The sequence below is a fragment of the Homo sapiens genome, chromosome 5 (genome assembly GCF_000001405.40).
Source record: "Homo sapiens chromosome 5, GRCh38.p14 Primary Assembly".
NCBI classification, from domain to species: domain Eukaryota; kingdom Metazoa; phylum Chordata; class Mammalia; order Primates; family Hominidae; genus Homo; species Homo sapiens.
In genome coordinates, this window is record NC_000005.10 from 151,018,805 (window position 1) to 151,041,873 (window position 23,069).

Here is a 23,069-nt window from a genome sequence, read left to right on the forward strand (position 1 = left end):
TGGAGAGGGCCTGAGACTGAGTCTAGAGACCTGGATTCTGGTTCCCTCCCTGCCATCAGTTGGTTATGGGAACTTGGATAAATTGCTCCTCATCTCTAGGCTTCAGGGAAATGAGGTGGTTGAATAAAACGTATTGAGCACTTACTGTGTGTCAGCCATTGTTCATATGCTCCCAGGCTTTAACTCAGCTAAAGACTTCCTGGCCTCTGTGGTTCCTTCCACTTCAACAGGCTGTGGTTTGAGGTGGGAAGACTTCGTAGAGAATGCAAAACTTGAGAGACATCTTCCAAATTCCCAGGGGGATGTTAATACCTTTAATCATAGTAAAGGTATGGTTTCTCAAGGCATTTCTTGGTCAGAAGAAAGTTCCAGAAGGCACTTAATCCTAGGACTCACACTACCAAGGCTACAGCCAGGCCAACTGCCTCACAATAACCTTAGAACATGTCTGAAGACAGATTTTCAGCTTCTGCCCCTAGAGATTCTAATGCAGTGATTCCAAAGTGGGGTCCAGGAATCTGTATTAAAGGCTTCCCAGTTGACTCTGGTGGTCAGAGAGATTTGAGACTGATTCCATCACATTCCCCATCTGTGAACGGGATCATACCTAGACAGCCCAGCCCTAGAACTGCCTGGTCTGATCCTAAGTGTTCCATGGAGATTTTGTTTTTTTAATGTAATGAATGATTAAGTCAGCAAATACTTTACATCTCTTGTGTGCTAGGCCCTGTGCCAGGTGGTGATTATGGGCCCTATTCTCAAAGGACTCCTGGTCTCCGTCTGTCACTTACTTTAGAAACAAGTCATCTAGCCAGAGCCAGAAGGGCACTGGAGATCACTAATCAATCCCATCATTACATAGCTGAGGAAACTGAGGCCCAGAGAGTAACTGCAACATGTTAAAGACTACACAGGGAGCAAATTTATTTTCTGCTTCTAAGCCAGGTGGTTTGGCCACAGATAGGCCAAGAAGAATACGAACAGACAAGCCTTGCTGGGTTTCCCACTCAGTTTATTACTATTAGACCATTCCCTTTTTCCCCACTCACATTTCTGCGCATTTCCATGGTCTTCATAGAATCTAAGCCTAAAAATAGAGTTTTCCTTGAGTCTTTGGGTCTTCATTTCTGAAGACTCTCATGTCACAGAAAACTTTAATTAAATAAATCGTTATGCTTTTCTCTTGCTAACCTTTTTCTACAGGCATGTCAGCTGTGATCCTTATGATGGGGAGGAAAGGCACCCCACCTTCTCTGTCCCTACAGTCCTAATGCCCTACCCAGAATGGGGTTTTCAAAATCCCAGGACACCCACTCTTTGTTTCTTAAGCACTAAACCTATATATAGTAAATGTTTCTGGAAGTTTAACTTCAGCTCTTGCTGAAATTTTAAACCCTCAATTTCCAGAGGACCATCGCCAGGTGTTTTTAAAACCTCGATAGGAATAAGAAATGCTTCCCAGAATGGAGACTTCCATCAGTTCTAGGGAGCTATTAGCCCCCTTGCCCTGGCTGTAATGGAGACCGCTGTGTCTGCCTCCTTTCGCACTTTGGAGCCAAAAGAGGAAGGGACCGCCTCCCACGTCCACAGGGACCTGACTTCCACCTCTCTGCCCAGATTTGCTTATGTCACTGTCGCCCCGGGACGGGGAGGTGGGGAGCTGAGGGCAAGTCGCGCCCGCCCCTGAAATCCCAGCCGCCTAGCGATTGGCTGCAAGGGTCTCGGCTTGGCCGCGGATTGGTCACACCCGAGGGCTTGAAAGGTGGCTGGGAGCGCCGGACACCTCAGACGGACGGTGGCCAGGGATCAGGCAGCGGCTCAGGCGACCCTGAGTGTGCCCCCACCCCGCCATGGCCCGGCTGCTGCAGGCGTCCTGCCTGCTTTCCCTGCTCCTGGCCGGCTTCGTCTCGCAGAGCCGGGGACAAGAGAAGTCGAAGGTGAGTGAGCCTCCGGGCCGGGGGCCGGGAGAAAAAACCTAGCCCCTCGGTGTCCAGCGCTCAGTGCAATGCACCCCTTTTCCCAGGCTCCCCGCCAGATGGGCAATCCCCAGGTGCGAGAGACCTCCTGAACCCCTTTTGCCGCCCCCTCCGCCGCCGGGACCCCGCCCCCGACCGTCGTCGTCTCGTAGTTCCATCTGTTGGAGAGCCGAGACCTGGTGCTTCAGGCGGGCAGAATGACTAAGGGAGGAAGGTCTCTCTCCCCGAGCTCGCACTTTCTCCCCACTGCCACCTCGAGGGTCGCCTTGCTACATCTATGTCACCTCCGTGCCTGAGCTGCTCCCCTTCAGTAGGGCCTAAGAGGGAGGGCGTCACAGAAAAAAATGCCCAGCGTCTGGGTGGGCTGTGCAAGTTCCCAGGGAGAGAGACAAGGAGAAAGGAGAGAGGCAGCTGGGTGGTCCTGGTCCTGAAGAACTGCTGTGGGGGGCTCTTCTACCCCAAGAATGATACAGGCAGGTAGAAATGGCCACTTGGATTCAGGGCATTGGTAGAAGAGGCAGAGATCTGTGCTAGAAAGAGCTCTGGAGTGACAGTGCAGAACACTCAGGACCCTGAGTCCTTACCTGCTCCTGGACCCCCGTTTCTCCATCTGCAGGGGAGAGTTTGGGGGTGGGAGTGCATGGGGCACAATGAAGCTGAGGGCCTCAGAGGGGATGCTTGGAGAAGCTGAAAAATCCACAAGCTGTTCTCTGAAATTTCCTCCCCTGGGGCAGCCTCACTACCCAGGACCCACTGTCCTCATTAGCCTGAGGAAACCTGGTAGTTGGAGAAAGCTGGGGACTGCTAATTCAGAAGAAGAGGTAGAATTCTCTAGAGCCTCAGTCTATTTCCAGCAGGTGTGTGGCCCACACCTGGAGTGGGGATACTGAGGCCAGGAGTGGGATGACCCAGCATGCTTATCTCCTTTGACAGTATGTACTGGGGTGGGCTCTGTAGACCTCTCCTCTACCCAGGGAGTGGGAGTGGGTGGGGAAGGAGGCAGAAGCCAGGTGTAGGGATAGACTCAAAGCGAGCGATTTCTGTCTCCAACTTCCCAACATGCATAACTCACATTTTTGCAAGCTCTGAGCTTTTGTTTCTAAAATCCTCTGGGTCTTCACTTTAATTAAGTTCTTATGAGTCTAGGATTCCGTTTCCAAAATTCTGTCCACTTCTCAGGAAGCCCATTGGAAGCACAGGGTTCCTTCCATGTTACTCACCCCTTTTCGGTCCTCAGCCTAAATCCGATTAATCAGCCTCTCCTTGGAGTCAGTCTAAATGGATGTGAAGCCACTTCGTCCAAGTCCCCTCCTTTTTATCCATCCCTGTTCATAATCCCCAACTCAGAAGGCATTTTCCAGGTCAGGAATGGGATCGATTTTCAACATTGAGGTTTGGGGTGGGCCATAGACAGGCCAGCACCGTGGAGTCAGTCCCAACCTTCAGTTTTGGAAAGGTCAAAGAAGATACAATTGGGCCCTGCCTCAAGAAGGCTAGTGGGGAGAACGTGGACTCCATGAATAACTCATCATAGCTGTGTCTTCTCTGCAGCACTCTGGGGAAGGATAAATGGACTCAGAGAGAATAGGATGGGGATGGTCTAGAAAAGTTTTAGGGTGAGGTGTGATCATATCACATACAACCAGTCAGGACTTGCTGGCTAATGAAAGCCTGGGCATGCCCATCTCTGCTCCCAAGTTCTTAGAGTTCAGATGTCTTAGCTCTGGGTTAGGACCCAACCACTCACCTTACCCCCAACCCCAGGGTAAAGAGATAGGGTTATGGGGCATGTGGAGAATGGAATGGACGAAAGGTGACTCAGCCCCAGAGAGGTGTTTTCCTCCTACCAATTGAAAGGGAGATGCTAGGGAAGAGACCAGGTCCTCCTCTTCTTGCTGCGTCACCTCCCCAGTCCAACTTCAGGCTGCCCACGCTCCTTGTCTCTACAAAAGGACTGCAGAAGCCGGAAAGAGTGACAACTGCTGACGTGCACGGGATCCTAGTAACTGCTGGTTTCTAGGTGACTAAACCTGGCAGAGAGAATCATGGAACCACAGGCTGACAGAGTTAAAGGGCCCTTAAGACAGCCCTGAACCTGACTCCATCTTACAATGGAGGAGCTGGAGCCCCAGCAAAGGGGGTCACATGGCATCAGAGACACAGCAAAGCCCAGCACTCAGGTCTCCTGACTCCCAGACCACTTCTCACAGCATCATATTGATAGGAGTAATAAGACGGGAGAGGAGAAAGACACAAGACCAGCAGCCCCAGCCAGCCAGAGTCCTGGCTGAGTCCCATCATCCAACTCTCAAGCCATTGGAACCCTCTTCTCTTGCCCGGCTGTGGGAGGATTCAGGCACCCTCATGGCCTCTCCCCTTATCTCCTCTGGCCACTGTTTCAGATGCGGTGCTCTGGGATTCCACGTGCCCAGAGAAGGGAAGGGGGCTCATAGAGGACTGAGTTGCAGTGATCAGTGGTGAGCACAGCCGTGGCTCTCCACCCATGGGCCACCTTCTGACCCCCACTATCCCTTGACATGAGATTTCGTTCCAAGAGACTCCAGGCCTGTTTTGCTCTGCCAGCAGATTCCCACAACCATTTTGGGCAGCAGCATGCTTATCTCCCTGGACATATGCCCAGACAGTGTAAGTGACTTGCTCAGGGCCACACAGCCAGCAAAAAATAGAACCTAATGAAATAGGGTTCTCCTTGCCACACCCCCAAGCTGAAACTGTGCCCAGAAGCTGGTCCTTCTGTTTACAAGTTCCCATTATTAGGACAACCTGTAATCTTTTTTTCCTCCATGTCTCAGAGTTCATTTTTGGATCATGGCAGAGTTAAAAAAGTGGAGAGGCTATAGACATGCCTGGCTTTCTGGCCACTAGATCTTTGTGGCGGTCTAGGGTGTATTTGTTGTGCCCCAGTTTGTCTGCATTTTAAGGCGGAACTGGCCCTGGCTGGGAACGAGGAGGTCCAGGAGCAGTAGGAATGTTGATCTTAGGTCTTGGGCCTGCCTCCAGCACCCACCAAAAGTCACCGGATGTGGAATATTAGACTCATGTAAAGCAGGAAGTTTGCACCAGAGCCAAGAAGAGAGCTTGCAGCTGCCAGGGAATGGCCTGGCGGAGGAAGCGCAGCCTCGCCCAGCTCAGCAGACCTGCTTCATGACAGAGGCAGCTCTTCTGCACTCTACTGGGGCCACGCCCTGCCAGCATATATCACTCCCTTCACCTGGTCAGGCCCAGGTACCTTGCCTCAACAGCAAGTTCTCCAGAATTGAGGGGAAGAGAGGGAGTGAATTTGCTTCTCTAACTCCAGCCACCTGTCTCTGCCCTCTCCTGGTCTATAATGCTACTTTGCATTCCATTTGTTTATTGTCTGCCCACCTCTCAAAGGATATCAGGGCCACAAAGGACCTTAAAGACCACCTTATACAATGGTTTCAAGGTTTCTCCTTTCCCATCACGACCAGCCCACCTGCCAAATTGTGTCAATGATGCAATGACATCCTTTCAAGAATAGTCTCAGAATTTTGTTGTCTGTGTCACGGGCAGAGTAGGCTCATAGGCCACATCCTACTAGCCAGCAGTGACCCCAATCCCCTCTCTCCCACTGATCATGATCCTATCAAGCCATCATGGTTGACCTGGTTGGAGAGTTGGTTCAGTTCAAGGTTCTCATTTTATAAATGAGGAAACTCAGGTCCGAAGAAAAGAAAGGGCCAGTCCAAGACCACACAGGGAGTTAATGGCAAAGGGACATGGAGCCCAGGTCTCCCAGCCCACAGTCCACTGCACTCTGTCCCTCCTTGTCCTGGAGGCTGACTGTGAGCAGCAGCTGGGGAGGGAGGAAGGCATAAGGGTCATCACCAGCCTGCTCAGACCCGGAACATTAACACATGCAGGTACTGTTGCTTTTCCCTACCTCACCACAGCCCTTTCCCCCATGCCTGGCTCTCAGTCCTGCTTCCCTATTTGGTAACAACAGCTTCATCTTTCCTGTCCTGCAGATTGGGAGCCTCTGAATCACCATGTCCATACGGCCTCTTCCTCCTTTCTGTTCAGTTTTTCCTTCACACTGGCCTAGTTCAGGTTCTCATCCTCAATTGCCTGGATTATTCCAACAGCCACCCAACCAGTCTCCATCAGCCCGTCTAGGAACCCAGTCATCAGCTTTAGGGCAGTCTCCCTGAGAGCCCAGTAAATGTTCTGAAATTGACATGTGATGTGGAAGTAATTAGCAAAATAAGTCATTCTCCAGGGTTCCATAGCACTCACTTATTAAGTGCTTAATATTAATAAGTGCTTATTAGGTGCTTAATATTAATAAGTGCTTTTTAAGCACTTAATATTAAGTACCCGAAAAGCACTTATTAAGTGCTTTCATAATCATTATCTTAAACAAGGAATTAGGAGACGTCAGTGCTAGTCCAGTTCCAATTCTCGGTGATTACTTTGAGAAAGTCACTCTCTCTGTTGGGATCTTTCATTCTTTTGAAAACGGAGATGTCCAAGTTCCTTTCCAGCTCTAACTGCTCCTTTTATGGCCTGTGTTCCAGATGGACTGCCATGGTGGCATAAGTGGCACCATTTACGAGTACGGAGCCCTCACCATTGATGGGGAGGAGTACATCCCCTTCAAGCAGTATGCTGGCAAATACGTCCTCTTTGTCAACGTGGCCAGCTACTGAGGCCTGACGGGCCAGTACATTGGTAAGAGCCCACCCTTCCTCCCTGCTTTATTTGGGGCTGTATGGCATATTTCAATCACAGGAGCTTTTCTGGTGCATGGGGGAAAGGGTGATGGCAATCACGAGAGTCCAAGCCCCTTTTCTCAGCTCCACTGTGTTCCGTGGTTTTGTGAAGATGATTATATAAGCCTGAGGTCTGATTGCCTTTGGACATGTTCTAGGAGATTCCTAGTTATCCTTCTTCATCTCTGGGCACCTCAACAACCCTAAAGGCAGAGGGATAGAGATTAGGTTTGTGCTTAGAGCTCCCTTTGGCTGGAGCATGAGATGGTAACTGAAGCTCCATCTTGCTGAGAATATCTTATTTTCCCTCAGCCCCATCTGCTTTGGTGCTTCTCTTGGCAGCTCTCTGGAAAGCAGGCAATTGCCTCGAGGCCCCAGAGTGTATGCGTGGTGTAGCGGGATGAAGGAGCAGGCTACACTTCTAATGCCCATTCTAAAATAAACTTTGAAGATGATCTAGTTTAGCCTTCCCCTCTTCTCAATCTACACATGGGAAACCAAGACTCAGAGCGAAGATACAACTTAAACAGGGTCACAAAGCTATTAGCGGTGGAATGGGGCATTTGGCGCAGGTTTCATGATCTCCTGATATGCTTACTCCTTTCTCCCTAGCTGGGGTAGAATACAGAGGCTAGGGGAACAGGCAACCAAAGGCAAGCGACAGCACCCAGGGGAAAACGCTTTGGGGCTGAGCAGTCTACTGGCAGGGGGTCAGGGAGGCAAGGGCAATTTGACCCTCCATGCTCTGCCTGGCAATCACAGGCGAATTCCCGGAAGTGAAAGGACGGCGGTCACGTGGCCCAGTGGCTGTGAGTGCTTTTTCTGGGATGCTTCTCTCTAGCCTTGGAACAGAGCAGAGTGCGTTTGGGCAAGAGATGGGCTGGGTGCTGCTGCAAAAGAGACCAGGGGACACTGAGGAAACTGGGGAGCTGGGCCAGGGCCTCATCTGTGTTCCTGATTTGCCAAAGATTATGGGAGGGTTGTAACCTCACCCCAAAGAAGTTCTCTGCCTTGTATCCAGGGATGGATAGTTCTTGCTCCAGAAAACTCAATCCTGAGGGTTCTGAATGAGTGCTCTAGCTGGCCCAGGTGGAGGGCCTTGGCAATGGGCAGGTGACTGACAGCTGACTTGAGGAAGGGTATTATTCTTGTCCTCCAAACCTCCAATCCATCCAGATTAGAGTCAAGAGGATAGGACCTGAGTCCCAGCATTGCTGTGAACTCACTGGTGATCCTGCGCAAGTCCCTCCCTTTCTCGGGCCTCAGTAGTTCCAGCGGCACAGCGGGTGAGCCGGGGGAGTGGTGTGGATGAGACAGGGCTCCTCGCCAGGATACTCCCACATCTGCTCTTTCTCTTTGGCCCAGAACTGAATGCACTACAGGAAGAGCTTGCACCATTCGGTCTGGTCATTCTGGGCTTTCCCTGCAACCAATTTGGAAAACAGGAACCAGGAGAGAACTCAGAGATCCTTCCTACCCTCAAGTGAGTACTCACTCAGCATCCTGAGAAAGCTCCTCTCACATGGCCCACATCTTGTTATCAACCCCAAATCATGGTGGACATTTATCGGCCACCAAGAACTACTCTCCTCTTCTAGGATCCCCAGTGGAATGAGGGAAGGGAAGGGACAAGAGAGGGAGAAGGACAGGGACAACTGGTTGTGATGTGCATCCGCAGGGAGCACCAAGGTTGAGGGACACTGAAAAGGGACCAGGCTAGAAAGGAAGACCGTGGACTCACATTATGCCTATGCCCACTGCACATTCACTGGCTCCTGCTGCCCACTGCAGAATAAATCCAGACTCCCAACACCCTCTCCCCTGTTCTGTCCCTTCCTCTCATTTCTGAGCCCTGTGCCCACCTCCTTGGGACCCACCTAAGAACATTTCTCAACAGGTATGTCCGACCAGGTGGAGGCTTTGTCCCTAATTTCCAGCTCTTTGAGAAAGGGGATGTCAATGGAGAGAAAGAGCAGAAATTCTACACTTTCCTAAAGGTAAGTGAGCTGCCACCTGTGCTGGCTGGGGCTGCAGCCCCTCCTGGCTCCAGCCCACAGCGTCAGGGCCCATGCCACCTCCCCTGCTCCTGGGCTCTTGGGGAATTTCTTGGCACCTGACTATTGTTCCAACTAGAGGGCTCTGCAGACCCTGACTAGGGTCTCATTGGCCCATTTTACAGAAAGGCCCAGAAGGACCCAGAGTGAACATACTAAGGGTCTCACAATCTTCTAGAGCCACAGCTGGCGCTGGCAGTCTTCTAACTCCCAAACTGGGGCTCTTTTCTCAGGGCCAGGCTATTCCCCAGGAAGGCCTGGGAAGGAAGAGGGTCAGGGGGCCTCAAGCAAGGTTGACACTCCTCTTATCCCTGCTCTAGAACTCCTGTCCTCCCACCTCGGAGCTCCTGGGTACATCTGACCGCCTCTTCTGGGAACCCATGAAGGTTCACGACATCCGCTGGAACTTTGAGAAGTTCCTGGTGGGGCCAGATGGTATACCCATCATGCGCTGGCACCACCGGACCACGGTCAGCAACGTCAAGATGGACATCCTGTCCTACATGAGGCGGCAGGCAGCCCTGGGGGTCAAGAGGAAGTAACTGAAGGCCGTCTCATCCCATGTCCACCATGTAGGGGAGGGACTTTGTTCAGGAAGAAATCCGTGTCTCCAACCACACTATCTACCCATCACAGACCCCTTTCCTATCACTCAAGGCCCCAGCCTGGCACAAATGGATGCATACAGTTCTGTGTACTGCCAGGCATGTGGGTGTGGGTGCATGTGGGTGTTTACACACATGCCTACAGGTATGCGTGATTGTGTGTGTGTGCATGGGTGTACAGCCACGTGTCTACCTATGTGTCTTTCTGGGAATGTGTACCATCTGTGTGCCTGCAGCTGTGTAGTGCTGGACAGTGACAACCCTTTCTCTCCAGTTCTCCACTCCAATGATAATAGTTCACTTACACCTAAACCCAAAGGAAAAACCAGCTCTAGGTCCAATTGTTCTGCTCTAACTGATACCTCAACCTTGGGGCCAGCATCTCCCACTGCCTCCAAATATTAGTAACTATGACTGACGTCCCCAGAAGTTTCTGGGTCTACCACACTCCCCAACCCCCCACTCCTACTTCCTGAAGGGCCCTCCCAAGGCTACATCCCCACCCCACAGTTCTCCCTGAGAGAGATCAACCTCCCTGAGATCAACCAAGGCAGATGTGACAGCAAGGGCCACGGACCCCATGGCAGGGGTGGCGTCTTCATGAGGGAGGGGCCCAAAGCCCTTGTGGGCGGACCTCCCCTGAGCCTGTCTGAGGGGCCAGCCCTTAGTGCATTCAGGCTAAGGCCCCTGGGCAGGGATGCCACCCCTGCTCCTTCGGAGGACGTGCCCTCACCCCTCACTGGTCCACTGGCTTGAGACTCACCCCGTCTGCCCAGTAAAAGCCTTTCTGCAGCAGCTGAGCCTACTGTGTGTGGTGCTTCTTCAATGGTGGCCGCCCCCGCCTGGGTGGGAAGTGAGGAGGAGAAGGTGGGGCAGGGTAAAGGGGGGAGGATGAGAAAAGAACAAATATGACAACAAAAACTTTTTACAGTGGGTGCAAAGGTAATTGCGGTTTTCGCCATATGGCAAAATCCAAGGCTACCTCCCCACCCCACAATTCTCCCTGAGATCAGCCAAGGCAGACTGCAAGGGCCATGTAGCCCTATTAGGGGTGGCATCTTCATGAGGGAGGCCCCCCTGCCACAAAAAAGGGGCAAAAATTGCAATTACTTTTTCAACAACCTGATAGTTAGCTGCAGTGGCGCACTCCTTCAGCTACTTGGGAGACTGATGTGGGAGGCTCCCTTGAGCCCGGGAGTTTGAGGCTATAGTGTGCCGTGACTGAGTCTGTGAAGAGCCACTGCACTCCAGCCTGGGCAACACAGTCAGACTGTCTCTTAAAAAAAAAAAAAAAAAAAGAGAGAAATTAGACAATGCTTTGAGTCCCTGCTTTTTGGCTCCTACCTTGGCCCACTCTGCTTCTCTCACTCAGCATTTGGAGTTTATAAAACCAGTTCTGATCTACTCTCATTCCCTCCCACAGTTCTCCAAGTCAGCTGAGGTTAAGATGAGGTGTTCTGTTTGACGGATGAGGAAACTGAGGCTCACAGAAGGGCCACGCCTTGCCCCAGGTCTCCTGATGAGTGAGGGGCAGGACTGGAATTTAAACCCAAGTCCCCTGAGTCCTGGCCTAGGCTCCTTCCACTGCCCCGGTTGCCCTACCCTCAGGGAGGCCCTGATACGTCACCATTACTCAAGAGTAATGGTGACCATCTCAGGGAAAGGAAGAAAAGGGGAACAGAAGGAGGGACCCAGGAAAGCAGGGGGTTGACAGGGGAACATTAGCGCATAAATGAACATGAGTCAGAATGTTGATCTTCTTCAACTTGGATTTATGTCCATGATTCGTGCAAATAGCTATCCAGGGATGGACAGCCACCCTAATCTGGGCTTCTGGCACCACAGGCCTCCAGCTATGGGGTCCAGGGTCTGAACCTCAGGGCCTGGCAGCTTCAGGCTGGCGCCCCTCGGCGGACGTGGCTGGCATGGCCTTCTCCCATCTGTGATGGCTTCAGCAAGGCTACTGTGAGTGGTGGTGGAGAGGGCCCCAGAGCCAGAATATCCATCATTCTCTTCTGTTCTGGAGACAAACCCACACTTCCCACAGCTCCTCACAGAGGGGTAGGGGTGTGCGTGGGGCAGGTCCTGCTACAGAGCTTGAAGCAAAAATTAAACACACACACAAATTGGTCATGGCAACTAGAGGGCCTGAAACCACTTCCGGGAGGTTTTGAAGGAAGGGGGTCTTGGCTGCCTCCCACTCTTAGGATTGCTGCTCCTGGAGGCTTCTGCAACGGATGGTGGGTCAAAGCCGGATGAGGCCTCTCTCCACTCAGCAGCAGGGAAGGAGTTTTTCCCAGTCACTCCCAGCAGAGTACAAATGAAAGCCTTCTGGGTGGAGCCTCCCCAGTCCTGTAAACAGCTCAGTTCAGGGACTGGTGTACAAGCTGGCCACCCATCTCAGCCTCTCATCCAGCTGAGGCTCTGGCCACACCGTGCAAGTGGCTTCTAGTTTCTTGGCAATCTGAGATCAGCTGGCTCTGCAAGATGAAGGTGGAGCCAAATGACACAATCTGGTCTCACTGAGGCCCCTCACGGTCATTTTTTGGAGACTCTAAATAAACAAAAATTTTGAGGACTTCATGATTATGTGGTAGAGCGAGTTTCAAAGTCTCTTATGGAATGCAGTGCAGGAACAGTGAAAATAACAGCTAGGGTTACTGGGTGCTACCAAGTGCCAGGGCTAAGTACCTTAAGTACGCTGGTCATGTAATCTTCACCCAGCCCTATGAAGAAGGCAGGTTATTATCCCATTGTAAAAGAGGGAACTGGGACACTAAGAGGTTTTAAATGACTTGCTCATAGTTCCAGGTCCAGGAAATAGTGGGGCTAGGATTTGAACCCAATCTCAAATCCTGGAGCAGTTCTGGGGAGGGAGCCCCTCCCATTATACCAATCTCTACCACTCATCAAAGCAGCCTCCAAGGGGCTCCACTGAACTTGTAGGGTTCTTCAGGGAAAAACAGAAAATGACTGAGCAGCCCAATCCCTTCTTCCAATCACCAAATCCTCCAAACTGCAACCCCTCCAAGGTGTCCGTCCCATGGCCTCTACTCACACACCTGCAAAGGGACACTCGCCACCTCCCAGAGCTGGCTCCATTTCTGCACAACTGTGTCCCTTAGAAAGAAAGTTCCTCTTCATGTTGCGATGGACTTGGCCTCCCTGTCATTCCCACCCACTAGTTATAATTCTGTTCCCAGAAGTCCCACAGGCGAGGTGGTGCCTTGTGCCCCATGAGAGCTCTACAGGGAGCAATGGCAGTCGCTAAGGTCCCAATCTTTTCACGAGTGGACACAGCTCCAGGCTCTTCAGCCTTTCATGGTGGACACCATGGTCAGGGGAGCTTTTCAAACAGAAATATGGTCATGCCACTCTGCTTTAAAAATGTCCAGTGACTACACATTATGCTGAGGATAAGACCCAGGCCTCCCACCATGCTCCGCAGGCCTGCACGGTCAGGACCCGGCTACGTCCTGAACCCTGCGTTGCCCCTCTCTTTCCCTACCTTGTTCTTGGCTCCAGCCACGCTGGTCTTCCCTCCGATCCTCAAATCAGCTCCCCTACTTCCCCTCCTCCCACCACGGCCTCTGCATTTGTCATGTTCTCTGCAAAAGCATCCTCCACCCCTACCTCTCCACCTAGCTAGTGTCACTCATTCTGAGAGTCTCAACTCAAATGCTGCCCCCCCGGTCTAGGTCGGCTTCCTCTGCTATCTGCTCCCACAGAAACCGGCTCTTCTTCCTTTAGGGCACTTGAGTGCAGCCTGTTTGTGTGGTGTTTGTTTATTCATTTCTGCCTCCCTCATTAGACATTACGCTGTATAAGGGCAAGGACTGTATCTGCTTCTGTTCTCTAGGCATCCATAGCACCTAGCACAATGCCTGGCATTAGATAATGCACTAGAATGAATGGTTTCAGCCCCCCTCACTCTGTGGTTGCCATTACTCTCCATTCAACACTGTTTTGGAAAGCTGGGCCTCTCCTCCACCAAGAGCAGAAACTAACGACATCACCCCCAAACTCAGGCAATGCTGGCAGATAAGATATTATCTCCCCCAGGGAGGACCAAGACTCAGTATTAGGGGCTCACCTGGTTCTGTAGGCCTGGCTGTGGGAGGGTCCATCACTTGGGAGCTCTGATTTGGATTTCGAACCCCTCCACAGGGTAGACGCCAGGTGTATTCCGGCTGCGACAAAACTGGTGCTTAATAATCAATAATCACACCCAAAAATTACAATAGCACCTACTGTGCCAGGACAATACTAAATCTGTATTAGTCAAGTATAATTGAATCTTTATAACAACCCAGGCTGGCACTCCCATTTCACAGGTAAGGAATCTGAGGCTCAGAGGGGATAACTTGCTGAAGGTCATCTAGCAAGGAGAATGGCTAAGCTTGGATTTGAATCCAGGTCTTTGTAAATCCAGAGCCAATCTCTTAAGCGCCATACTATATACTCTGGTGTTTAAAGATGTGTACCAAGAAGGGTCATATGGGAGAAGCTGAAAAAGAGGCCAGCCAGGAGGTTTCTGTAATGGTCCAGGGGAGAGCTGGGATGCCTAAGGTGGGGCTGTGGCAGAGGACTGGGGAAAATGGGACAAGTGACAGCAGATCTTTGGAAGAAGAATGATAAGAAGGGAAAAGAGGCCAGGCGCAGTGGCTCACGCCTGTAATCCTAGCACTTTGGGAGGCCAAGGCGGGTGGATCACCTGAGGTCAGGAGTTCAAGACCAGCCTGGCCAATATGGAGAAACCCCGTCTCTACCAAAAATACAAAAAATTACCGGGCGTGGTGGTGCATGCCTGTAATCCCAGCTACTTGGGAGGCTAAGGCAGGAGAATAGCTTGAACCTGGGAGGCAGAGGTTGCAATGAGCCGAGATCGTATCACTGCACTCCAGCATGGGCAAAAAAGAGTGAAATTCCATCTCAAAAAAAAAAAAAAAAAAGGAAAAGAAAATAAAAAAAGAGAGGAGAGAAGAAGAGGAGGGGAGGGGAGAGGAGCGGAGGGGAGGGGAGGGGAGAGGAAAGGAAAGGAAAGAGAGAGAAACATGGTGAGGCTCTGGAACCTAGTTACACGTGGAAGTTATAAGAAAAAGCAAACCCAAACTCTGATACCCATGGCCTGGGGCCTGGAGGGAGTCCTCCTTCCCACCCTGCACTCTTACTCAGCCTTCTCCGTCCTAGACCAGTGACCCTGAACAGCTGTGGGGCAGCCCTGCGGGACTGTGGCCAGATCCCTGCCCCTGGGTAGCAGCCCAGAGCCAGGCCCTGGACACCCACCTGCCACCACGGTGCTGTTTAGTTCAGAAGGATGCAGTTTCTGAACCCCTCACTTAACCTTCCTCTCTGGAAGGTGTCTGGGGCAGCCTCTGTGTGTGCCCTGGAGCAAGGGAGGGACACAGACTCACCAGATGGAAGAGGCGCGAGTTGGGGAGTGGGGGCGGGTGCTCCATGGCCATGGGGGGAGGGGGGTAGCGGATCTGGGACCAGTCCTCGAAGCCATGGTGTGGCACCATGGCTGGCATGGGCGGGTAGGCGTAGGGGTAGGCCCCGCAGAGATGTTCTGGGTGGGGCTCCACATGGTAACGCTCTCCTGAGGCCTGCAAGAAAGGCTGACGTCTGGCTTTGGCCTGCAACAGGCTGCAAAGGACACCCATCTCATCACCCTCTAAATAGAATGTTAGCTCTCTGAAGGCTAGCAGGCTGGGTACCAAAGGCTGGTATGTGGTCATGAAAGGCTGCTACATGGGTACAGAAATCTGGATACATGGGCATAGAAGGCTGGATATATGAGCATGGAAGGCTGCATGGGCATGGAAGGCTGGGTACACATGCATGGAAGGTTGTGACATGGGCACAGAAGGCTGGTACATGGGCACGGAAGGCTGGTACATGGGCATGGAAGGCTAGTACATGGGCACGGAAGGCTGGTACATGGGCACGGAAGGCTGGTACATGGGCACAGAAGGCTAGTACATGGGCATGGAAAGCTGGTACATGGGCATGGAAGGCTGGTACATGGACACGGAAGGCTGGTACATGGGCACGGAAAGCTAGTACATGGGCACAGAAGGCTGCTACATGGGCAGTGAAGGCTGGTACATGGGCACAGAAGGCTAGGTACATGGGCAGTGAAGGCTGGTACATAGACACGGAAGGCTGGTACATGGGCACGGAAGGCTAGAACATGGGCACAGAAGGCTGGTACATGGGCACGGAAGGCTGGGTACATGGGCACGGAAGGCTGGGCACATGGGCATGGAAGGCTGGGCACATGGGCACAGAAGGCTCATACATGGGCACGGAAGGCTGGGTAAATGGACACAGAAGGCTGGGCACATGGGCACGGAAGGCTGATACATGGAAACGGAAGGCTGAGCACATGGGCATGGAAGGCTGGTACATGGACACGGAAGGCTGGTACATGGGCATGGAAGGCTGGGCATGGGCACAAAAGGCTGGGCATGGGCACAAAAGGCTGGTACATGGGCACGGAGGGCTGGAACATGGGCATAGAAAGTTGGATACATGGGCACGGAAGGCTCATACACGGCCAAAGAAGGCTAGTCACATGGGCACGGAAGGTTGCTACCTGGACACAGAATGTCAACAGTGATGACAGCTAATACATTGTGGGCACTGCCTCTGTACCAATACTGCTCTAAGGCTTTTCCTGTATTACTCATCAGTTAGTTAGCAGAGGATGTCCCCACGCCCGAGCACACACTGTGCATCCATCAGGCTAGCTCCATGAGGAAGGTAAGAGGATGTCAGTGCTGCTACCTCCCTCAAGCCTCCTCACCTTTGCTTTCCTCTTCTGCTGTCTGAGGGCTTCTCTTGCCTTCTCCTCATCTTTGAATGCTTTTAGCTGAGAGAAGAAGGGAGGGAGAAAAGACTGTCGGCACAGGTGGTTTCTGGCCAGGCCTGGATCCAGGGCCTAACCAGCCACGAGGACTGACCGGCTGATGCTTCCCTCTGGGCCACCATGCGTGGGCCAGCCCCGGGAAAGGGCCCTGAGGGCGGAGCACAGCCCAGGCTGTTGCTGCAGGCCACCTGCTTGTCACAGTGGTCTGTGCACAGGTCAAGAGGGTTCACGTGAACCTCGCTGCTTCTCTGCTAACATCTTTTAGTTCCACTCTGGGAGAGTAAAGCCCAGAACTGACTGTGGAAAGTCAGAGGTAGAGATATCTTAGAGTAAAACTCGTAATTGTACAAAGAAAGAGTCAGAGAGGGGAAGGGCCTTGCCGAGCTCAAATATGATTGCAGAGCTGGAGAGAAGCAGTGAGGGTCCTGACATCCAGCCTCACCAGGGCCCTCCAATCCATGCCCCCTCTCCCCACGAGGACAGGCCAGTTGCCCTTCCTGGGTCCAGTCACTCTTACCTGGGCATTTGACAGGGTGACCTGGGCCTGCAGCTTCTCCACTTGCTTCTTCAGCTCTTCCTTCTCCTCATTCATGCGCTCACGATCACTGCGCTCCCTCTGGAAGTCCTCCTCGAAGATCTTCACCTGGTGTGGAGGGAGGGTGAAGAGAGGGAGGGGGATGGTCCTGAGTGGGGATTTCTCCTCAGGCCCAGACTCCCATGCCTCCTGCTGGGGTCACAGATGGCAGAGCTGGGGGTCGCCATGGGGAGTGGGACAGCTACACCTCCAGCCTCCACCTTAACTTCAAACAGAGTAGTTCTGTGTCCCTCTATCTTACATTCTGGGCTTCAAGCTAGGACTTTATTTGAACAAAGGATATATGGTTTTAAAAAAACGTTGAAAGCCATCAACCAGTGCAATCCTTTCACTCCGCTGAGACCCACAGGGGCAGTGATCACAGAACCAGAGTGTGGTGTAGACCAGAGTTTGGATCTGCTGGTTCTGAGGGCAGAGACCCTACAAACTCCGCTAGGGCTCCAGGGTGCCCTGGCAGAGGTGGGTTGGGTGGGGCCTGCCTCTGTCTCTTAGCCTGTAGTTTCACATCCTTAGTGCAGATCAGCTGAGACACTGGCTAGGTTCAAGGCAGTTTAGGAGGATTAAATAGCACAGAGACAATGGGAGAGCCACAACCTTTTCGCTTTCTTTCACCCCAATCCTTCTGTGTCCCTCAGGGCTAGTAGGTCTTTAATACCATTTTAGTACCTGCCAATCTCCTTTAAATAAAGGAGAAAAGAACTCCAGTTCAGAGTCTTCATTTGGCAAGAGTATCCGGCTAGAGTTTAATAACATTGTTCTGTTTTTATTGTTTATTGCGTACAGTTACTTTCTACTTGTGACAAATAATAAATGGTTTTTTCCAATTACAGCAGTGATATAAAGCTCCCTTTTAAATTCATTTATTTAGAATTTATTTTTTAAATACTAGGTAAATAATAGCACGTGTGGGGCATAGAGATGGCTAAATCATAAAGGTGGTAGAGGAACGACTTAAGCTAGGGTTATGGTGCTGGAAAGGATAAACCTAGAGCCAGTGGGGGGCCCTGGCCAATGGCCAGAAAGTGGATTACTAATTACAGGTTCCATGTGATTCCAAGCCGTCTGGGCCCTCAGGAAAGCTCCAGCTCCCACAGAGCACCTCCCACCTGATTTCCTCCCGGAAGCCTCACCTGCTGTTTCAGCAACTCATTCTGCGTGACCAGCTCCTGTTTCCTTAGGAGGGCCCCTGCTCCTTCTGGGCTCCCAAATGCTGTTGGTGGAGATGATGGCGGGGTTTGGATGCTCAGTGCTTCCTCCAGGGCCTGGAATCAGGAAAAGATGGGACCATCAGCAGGAACCCCTGGAAATCAGGGCCCTTTGGAGGGGTCATCCTCAGGGAACTCCTTCCTAATAATAATCATACTAATAATAGCCACCACTACCAGTCCTATTTAATAAATGCTGCCCTATTTATTTGCATTCTACACATATCATTTCATTGGATCTTCTGCACAGTGCCATGAAGAAAAGACTATGATCATCATCCTCATTTTACAGATGTGAAAACTGAGGCTCAGAGACCTGAAGGGGCTTGTCCAAGGTCAAGGTCACACAGCTAGTAAGTGGCAGAGCACAGATTCAAGCCCAGCACATGCTCCTACCCAGCAGGCTAAACTGGGGTTGTCATGCAGAAGGGGAAACCTCCCCTTCCCTGAACATGTGTGGCTCAATTCTTAGCACCCAGACCTAGAAGGAAGATTAAGTCCTCCGGGGGAAGCTTCAGTCTCCCCAACAACTGCCCTGCCCTGAGATTCTTCACTTTCAGCAACCCATTCCCATCCAAACCACCCCTTCCATCCTCAACACTTATGTACATAGAGAAGACTGGATTTAATTTCTGCTTAGTTAATATTTTCCCTTTCTAACACTGAAAATGGGCTGAAATATCATCAAATAACATTTTGAAAATAAAAAAATACTCTTAATCTATCATGTTCACAATAGATTATATAAACAGTGTGCCCACATCTTCTTAAAGGTTTCAGTTAACCGTGTTTCCCCTTTAACTCTGTTAACATGTTACTCAGAACTCTGGAACATGTCTCAAGACTGGGCACCCTGGACTTTGGCCCCAGGACAGCATCGCCCATGGGCCTCCCTGGACCGAGGGGAGATAGAGACCTGGCCCAACTTGGACTCGGGCTTCCACCTGGTCTCCTCAGCTCCCCTAGACACGCAAAGAAACTGCAGGACCGAGAGTAAATTCAGGATGCTCCGAGGGGAAGTTATGGCTCCACTTTATCTTCCTACTCCACCCCACTTTTAAATGAAAAGACTGAGGTCCAGCGACAGGGAGATGCCTAGGTCATGAGCAAAGAAGGCCACATGCCCTGCATTACTCATCCACATGGTGTCTGTCCCTGGCTCTGCCAAGAAAACCTCCAAGGTCATCTTTATGATCAGCAACATGGACAATTCTCTGCCTGGATTTAGAGCCCCAAGTCCCCCAGCTCAGGACAGATCGCGTTTCTTTCTCTGGAAACAGGTCAAGGGCCCCAGACTTGGCATAATCAGTGTTTACAAAACACCAAAACCAAAAAGAAAGGGTTTCCCCAGCAGGCCTAGGAATGCTCAACTCATGCCAGAGTCCACTGTCACCAGGGTCAGGAGGCAGAGGGAAAGGAAAAACAATTAGCACGAAACGAAAAGCTGAGCCATGAACTTAACTCCTCCAGGCCCTCAGAGAATGTTTCCTTTCAAAGCTCCCTCCTGTCAGCTTGCATCTTTGAAATGTGCTGGAAAGCAGGCAGAACTAGAGCCGTTCCCACCAGGGCTCGGATGGCAAAACTGAACTGGAGAGGCTGGAGAGGCTAAGCTGGGACTAGACCACTCCGCTTGGCTCAGACCAGAGGGTTTCTGGTTTCCTCAGCCTCTACCCTGGGGGCCCCATCTCCCTGGATCCCACTGCACAAGGGCGGGCCCCTCAGCCCGTGCTCCTCCACTCCCATCAGTGTTTGCTGAACATGTGCTTGATGCCAGGCGCTGTACAAGGCGCCCAGGGTATACACCTTGGTGAAAGTATGCACCTCCCACCACCAGATGGGAAGACAGAATTAAATAAGTGATGACGAGCCATGAGAAGGAGTGTCAGAGAAGTTGCTGGTACCTCAGGAGCATAGACCAGGGCAACCTGAATGAGATTCTGGGAAGGCTTTGCTGAGCAAGTGAGGGTAAAACAAACCCTGACAAGCAGGGTGGGCAGGTGAGGCACAAGGGGAAGAGTGCACCTCCAGAGGGAAGGGTGACACAGGCTAATTCAAGGGCTGAGTCACTCCCAGTGTGGGAGGCAATGGCAGAGCAGGCGGGAAACAGGATGCCAGCTCACTGACTGGGGGTTACCCTTCCTAAGCTGAATGGTTGGGGGTGCCAGTGATGGGGTGGGCATTGCAGCTGGACTCAAGGGAGCCCAGCCAAGGGACCCGGGCCAAGGCACCCACCTTGTTGAGCCGCTGGATCTCCTTTTCCTGGTACTCACGCTGTCGGGTGAGTGGGCTCAGCTGATCCTGCAGGTACTTGACCTTTTGGCGCAGCTCCTTGGCCTCTGCTGTCAGCTGCTCCTTGTCGGTCTGCAGGGAATACAAGGTTGGTAAGCTGGCTAGGATGGCCTCTCCAGGAGGCCTCGGATTCTCTGTCCTGCCTGGCCCAGCCCTTACGTTCTCCCCTGGCCATCACTTCACAATGCTCACATGCAAAGCACCTGGGGTCGGTACAGTAATGTCCATCCGGTCCTGCCCTCAATTATTATGTGTCAATTTAAAATAATAATTAAAAAAAGAAAAAGCAGTAGCTCAGTTGAGTAAAAGACCCTGGATTCCGACACCAGTTCATCCACTAAGCAGCTGAGACCCCTGGCACTGCCACAGCCCTCTCTTGTCTAAGCTTACCTACCTGTCACAGGTACGGGGTTCCTAACGTGAGTCACACAGAGACCTCAGGAGGCCTGTGAGCCCCAAAACTGAATGCGAAATTTTGTTGTGTGTAATCTGCTAGAAAGAAAAGCCATAGTTCTGACCAGATTCACATGGGGGTCTTCCGTGATCCACAGAAAGCGATAAACTACGGATAATCCCTAACAGACACTGCAGCTCATACAGCCTTGGAGCCTAGAGGAGAGATGACACGCCCAGAGAGAACTGTGACATAAGGCAGAGAGTGCTCCTCCAGAAAGAAACAAAATACTGTGGGGCTAAAAGAAAGATCACCACAGCTGAGGGAAGGCTTCCAGGAGGCGGTTCCATACCCTCTACGGAACCAGCAGGGCTTCGCCACAGCCAGCCAAGACTGGGATGGCCTTTAGACAGCATCAAGCCCCAGCCCTGTAATACGATGGGAAACAAATGTCCAGAGAGGGGAAGTGACGTACCCAAGGCCACACAGTGAGCTGGGGCTAGAACCCAGGTTTCCTATTCCCTTGCTCTCTCTCCTTCCATGTCAAAGGAGGTGTTGAAACTAGGGGATGGCAGCACAGTGCAGTGGAAAGACCAGGCACATCCCCAAATAAACTATATATTCCTATGTGTACATATATGCGAGAAAGGTCTGGAAACAGATGCACCAAAATGGTAACAGTGGTTCCCTCTAGGGAGGGCCTGGGATCATGGCAGTGGGAGGTAGTCCAGGGAAACTTTCACTTTGTAGCATGTGGACATTTCATAACTGTGTATTCACAGCATGTGATTAAGAGACCAGTCGCAGGGGTTAGTTTTCACCCAGCCCTGTGTGACCTTTAGTCAGTACGGACTGCAGAGGGCAGGCTTGGTCAGACCTCCCTGGGAATTGTTCTGGACTCCCCATCAAGAGGCTCCCGGATGGGCATGGGCTTTACCGAAATTCATCCTTATCTACAGGGCCACGCCTTGTCATGAAACGTCCTACCTTCCCTGTAGCTGACAGGGAAGAGCCCTCACATTCCAGGGATTTGTCTCACCTACCACTGTGAGCAAGGGAGAGGGGCCAAAGAGCCAGGATGTCTGGCTGCGAGTCACCAGGTATGACTGTGCACTCATAAGGAAAGACAGAAGTGTTCTCCCTACCACACCTCCAAGGTAAGGGGGTGTCACAGACGTAGGCTGACTGCTCAAATAAGGCCCCTGGTGTCCCATGCTGACGGGAGGAACTGTGAAAGGCAATCCAGGTTGAAAATGTCCATTTTTAAGCTAGGCAAAAGACCATGCCCAGTTCCCATGAAGGGGAAAACATGGTGACATAAATAAAATCTCCCAAGAGTCTGGCAGTCAAGTGGCCTTTCCTCTTTAAGCTGCTCCAAGGTCCTGATGGGCCTTGGCTGGTCTCATTCATACATATGACTGGGCAGATACTACTACTTCAGGGGACCTGTTGTTTCCCCCCAAGAAAGAATCTGGTCTCACTTATGCCCACTCTCTGATCTCTGTAACTTCTTCTTCGTAGTACTTTTTTTTTTTTTTTTTGAGACAGGGTCTCATTCTGTTGCCCAAGCTGGAGTGTAGTGACACAATCTCAGCTCACTGCAACCTCCGCCTCCCGGGTTCAAGCGATTCTCGTGCCTCAGTCTACCGAGTAGCTGGGACTACAGACATGCGCCACCACTCCCAGTTAATATTTGTATTTTTATTAGAGACGGGGTTTCACCATGTTGGCCAGGCTGGTCTCAAGCTCCTGATCTCAAGTGATCCGCCCACCTTGGCCTCCCAAAATGCTGTGTTTACAGGCATGAGCCACCATGCCTGGCCATACATTTTTCTTTTAGAGAAACAGGGTTTCACTCTGTTGTCCAGTCTGGAGTGCAGTGGCACAATCACAGCTCACTGAAGCTTCCAACTCCTGGGCTCAAGCAATCCTCCCACATTAGCCTGAGTAGCTAGGTCTACAGGTGCACACTGCCACACCCAGTGAATTTTTTAATTTTTGTAGAGACAAGGTGTGGCTATGTCACTGAGGTTGGTCTCAAACTCCTGGCCTCAAGCAATCCTCCCACCTCGGCATCCCAAAGTGCCAGGATCATAGGCACAAGCCACCCAACCCGGCCTTCTCTGCAACACTTAACACACTTTTACTTTATTTGCTTCTGTAATTAGTTGTCTGGCACCTCTTTCCCAGCGAGGGCAGGGTTGAGCTGTTCCTGTGGACTCTATGCCAAAGCACAATGCCTGAGACAGGCTCTGAAGACAAATGCCGGGATGAATGGATAAATGAAGCTCTGTCTCATGTTGTAGCCCCTCCCCAACAAATCACC

The 23,069-nt window shown here is 51.6% G+C and overlaps 2 protein-coding genes across 38 annotated transcripts in view, besides 1 other annotated feature; one reads left to right on the top strand and one right to left on the bottom strand.

The window, feature by feature from the left end:
- The first annotated feature begins 1,786 nt into the window (after window positions 1-1,786).
- Window positions 1,787-10,184, top strand: GPX3 (glutathione peroxidase 3). Of its 2 annotated transcripts, NM_001329790.2 has the most exons (6): window positions 1,787-1,937; window positions 2,024-2,050; window positions 6,536-6,689; window positions 8,096-8,213; window positions 8,628-8,727; window positions 9,105-10,184. In NM_001329790.2, the coding sequence occupies exons 1-6, from the start codon at window positions 1,851-1,853 to the stop codon at window positions 9,324-9,326; spliced, it is 708 nt and encodes a 235-aa protein (NP_001316719.1). In that variant the 5' UTR covers window positions 1,787-1,850; the 3' UTR covers window positions 9,327-10,184. The 2 variants fall into 2 exon arrangements, with proteins under 2 accessions (NP_001316719.1, NP_002075.2); NM_002084.5 differs by lacking the exon at window positions 2,024-2,050.
- Window positions 3,232-4,431: an enhancer, noted in NCBI's record as "P300/CBP strongly-dependent group 1 enhancer chr5:150401597-150402796 (GRCh37/hg19 assembly coordinates)". NCBI's record gives its function as "activates an origin of replication core promoter dependent on BRD2, BRD4, P300/CBP, MED14 and CDK7 cofactors, with strong dependence on P300/CBP, by STARR-seq in HCT116 cells {active_cell/tissue: HCT116}" and the evidence as "EXISTENCE:reporter gene assay evidence [ECO:0000049][PMID:35650434]".
- Window positions 11,139-23,069, bottom strand: part of TNIP1 (TNFAIP3 interacting protein 1) — a 57,743-nt gene continuing 45,812 nt past the window's right edge. For 9 of the 36 annotated variants that reach the window (NM_001252390.2, NM_001437739.1, NM_001437736.1 and 6 more), the window contains 7 exons: window positions 20,293-20,421; window positions 17,986-18,117; window positions 16,778-16,903; window positions 16,198-16,263; window positions 14,804-14,995; window positions 13,483-13,579; window positions 11,141-11,943 (listed from right to left, as the gene is read on the bottom strand). In NM_001252390.2, coding sequence (NP_001239319.1) covers window positions 11,909-11,943; window positions 13,483-13,579; window positions 14,804-14,995; window positions 16,198-16,263; window positions 16,778-16,903; window positions 17,986-18,117; window positions 20,293-20,421 — 777 coding nt within the window. In that variant the 3' untranslated portion in view covers window positions 11,141-11,908. Of the gene's footprint in view, window positions 11,944-12,451; window positions 12,510-13,482; window positions 13,597-14,803; window positions 14,996-16,197; window positions 16,264-16,777; window positions 16,904-17,985; window positions 18,118-20,292; window positions 20,422-23,069 lie in introns of all 36 variants that reach the window. The other 27 variants (NM_001437737.1, NM_001252392.2, NM_001364486.2 and 24 more) reach the window with 10 other exon arrangements.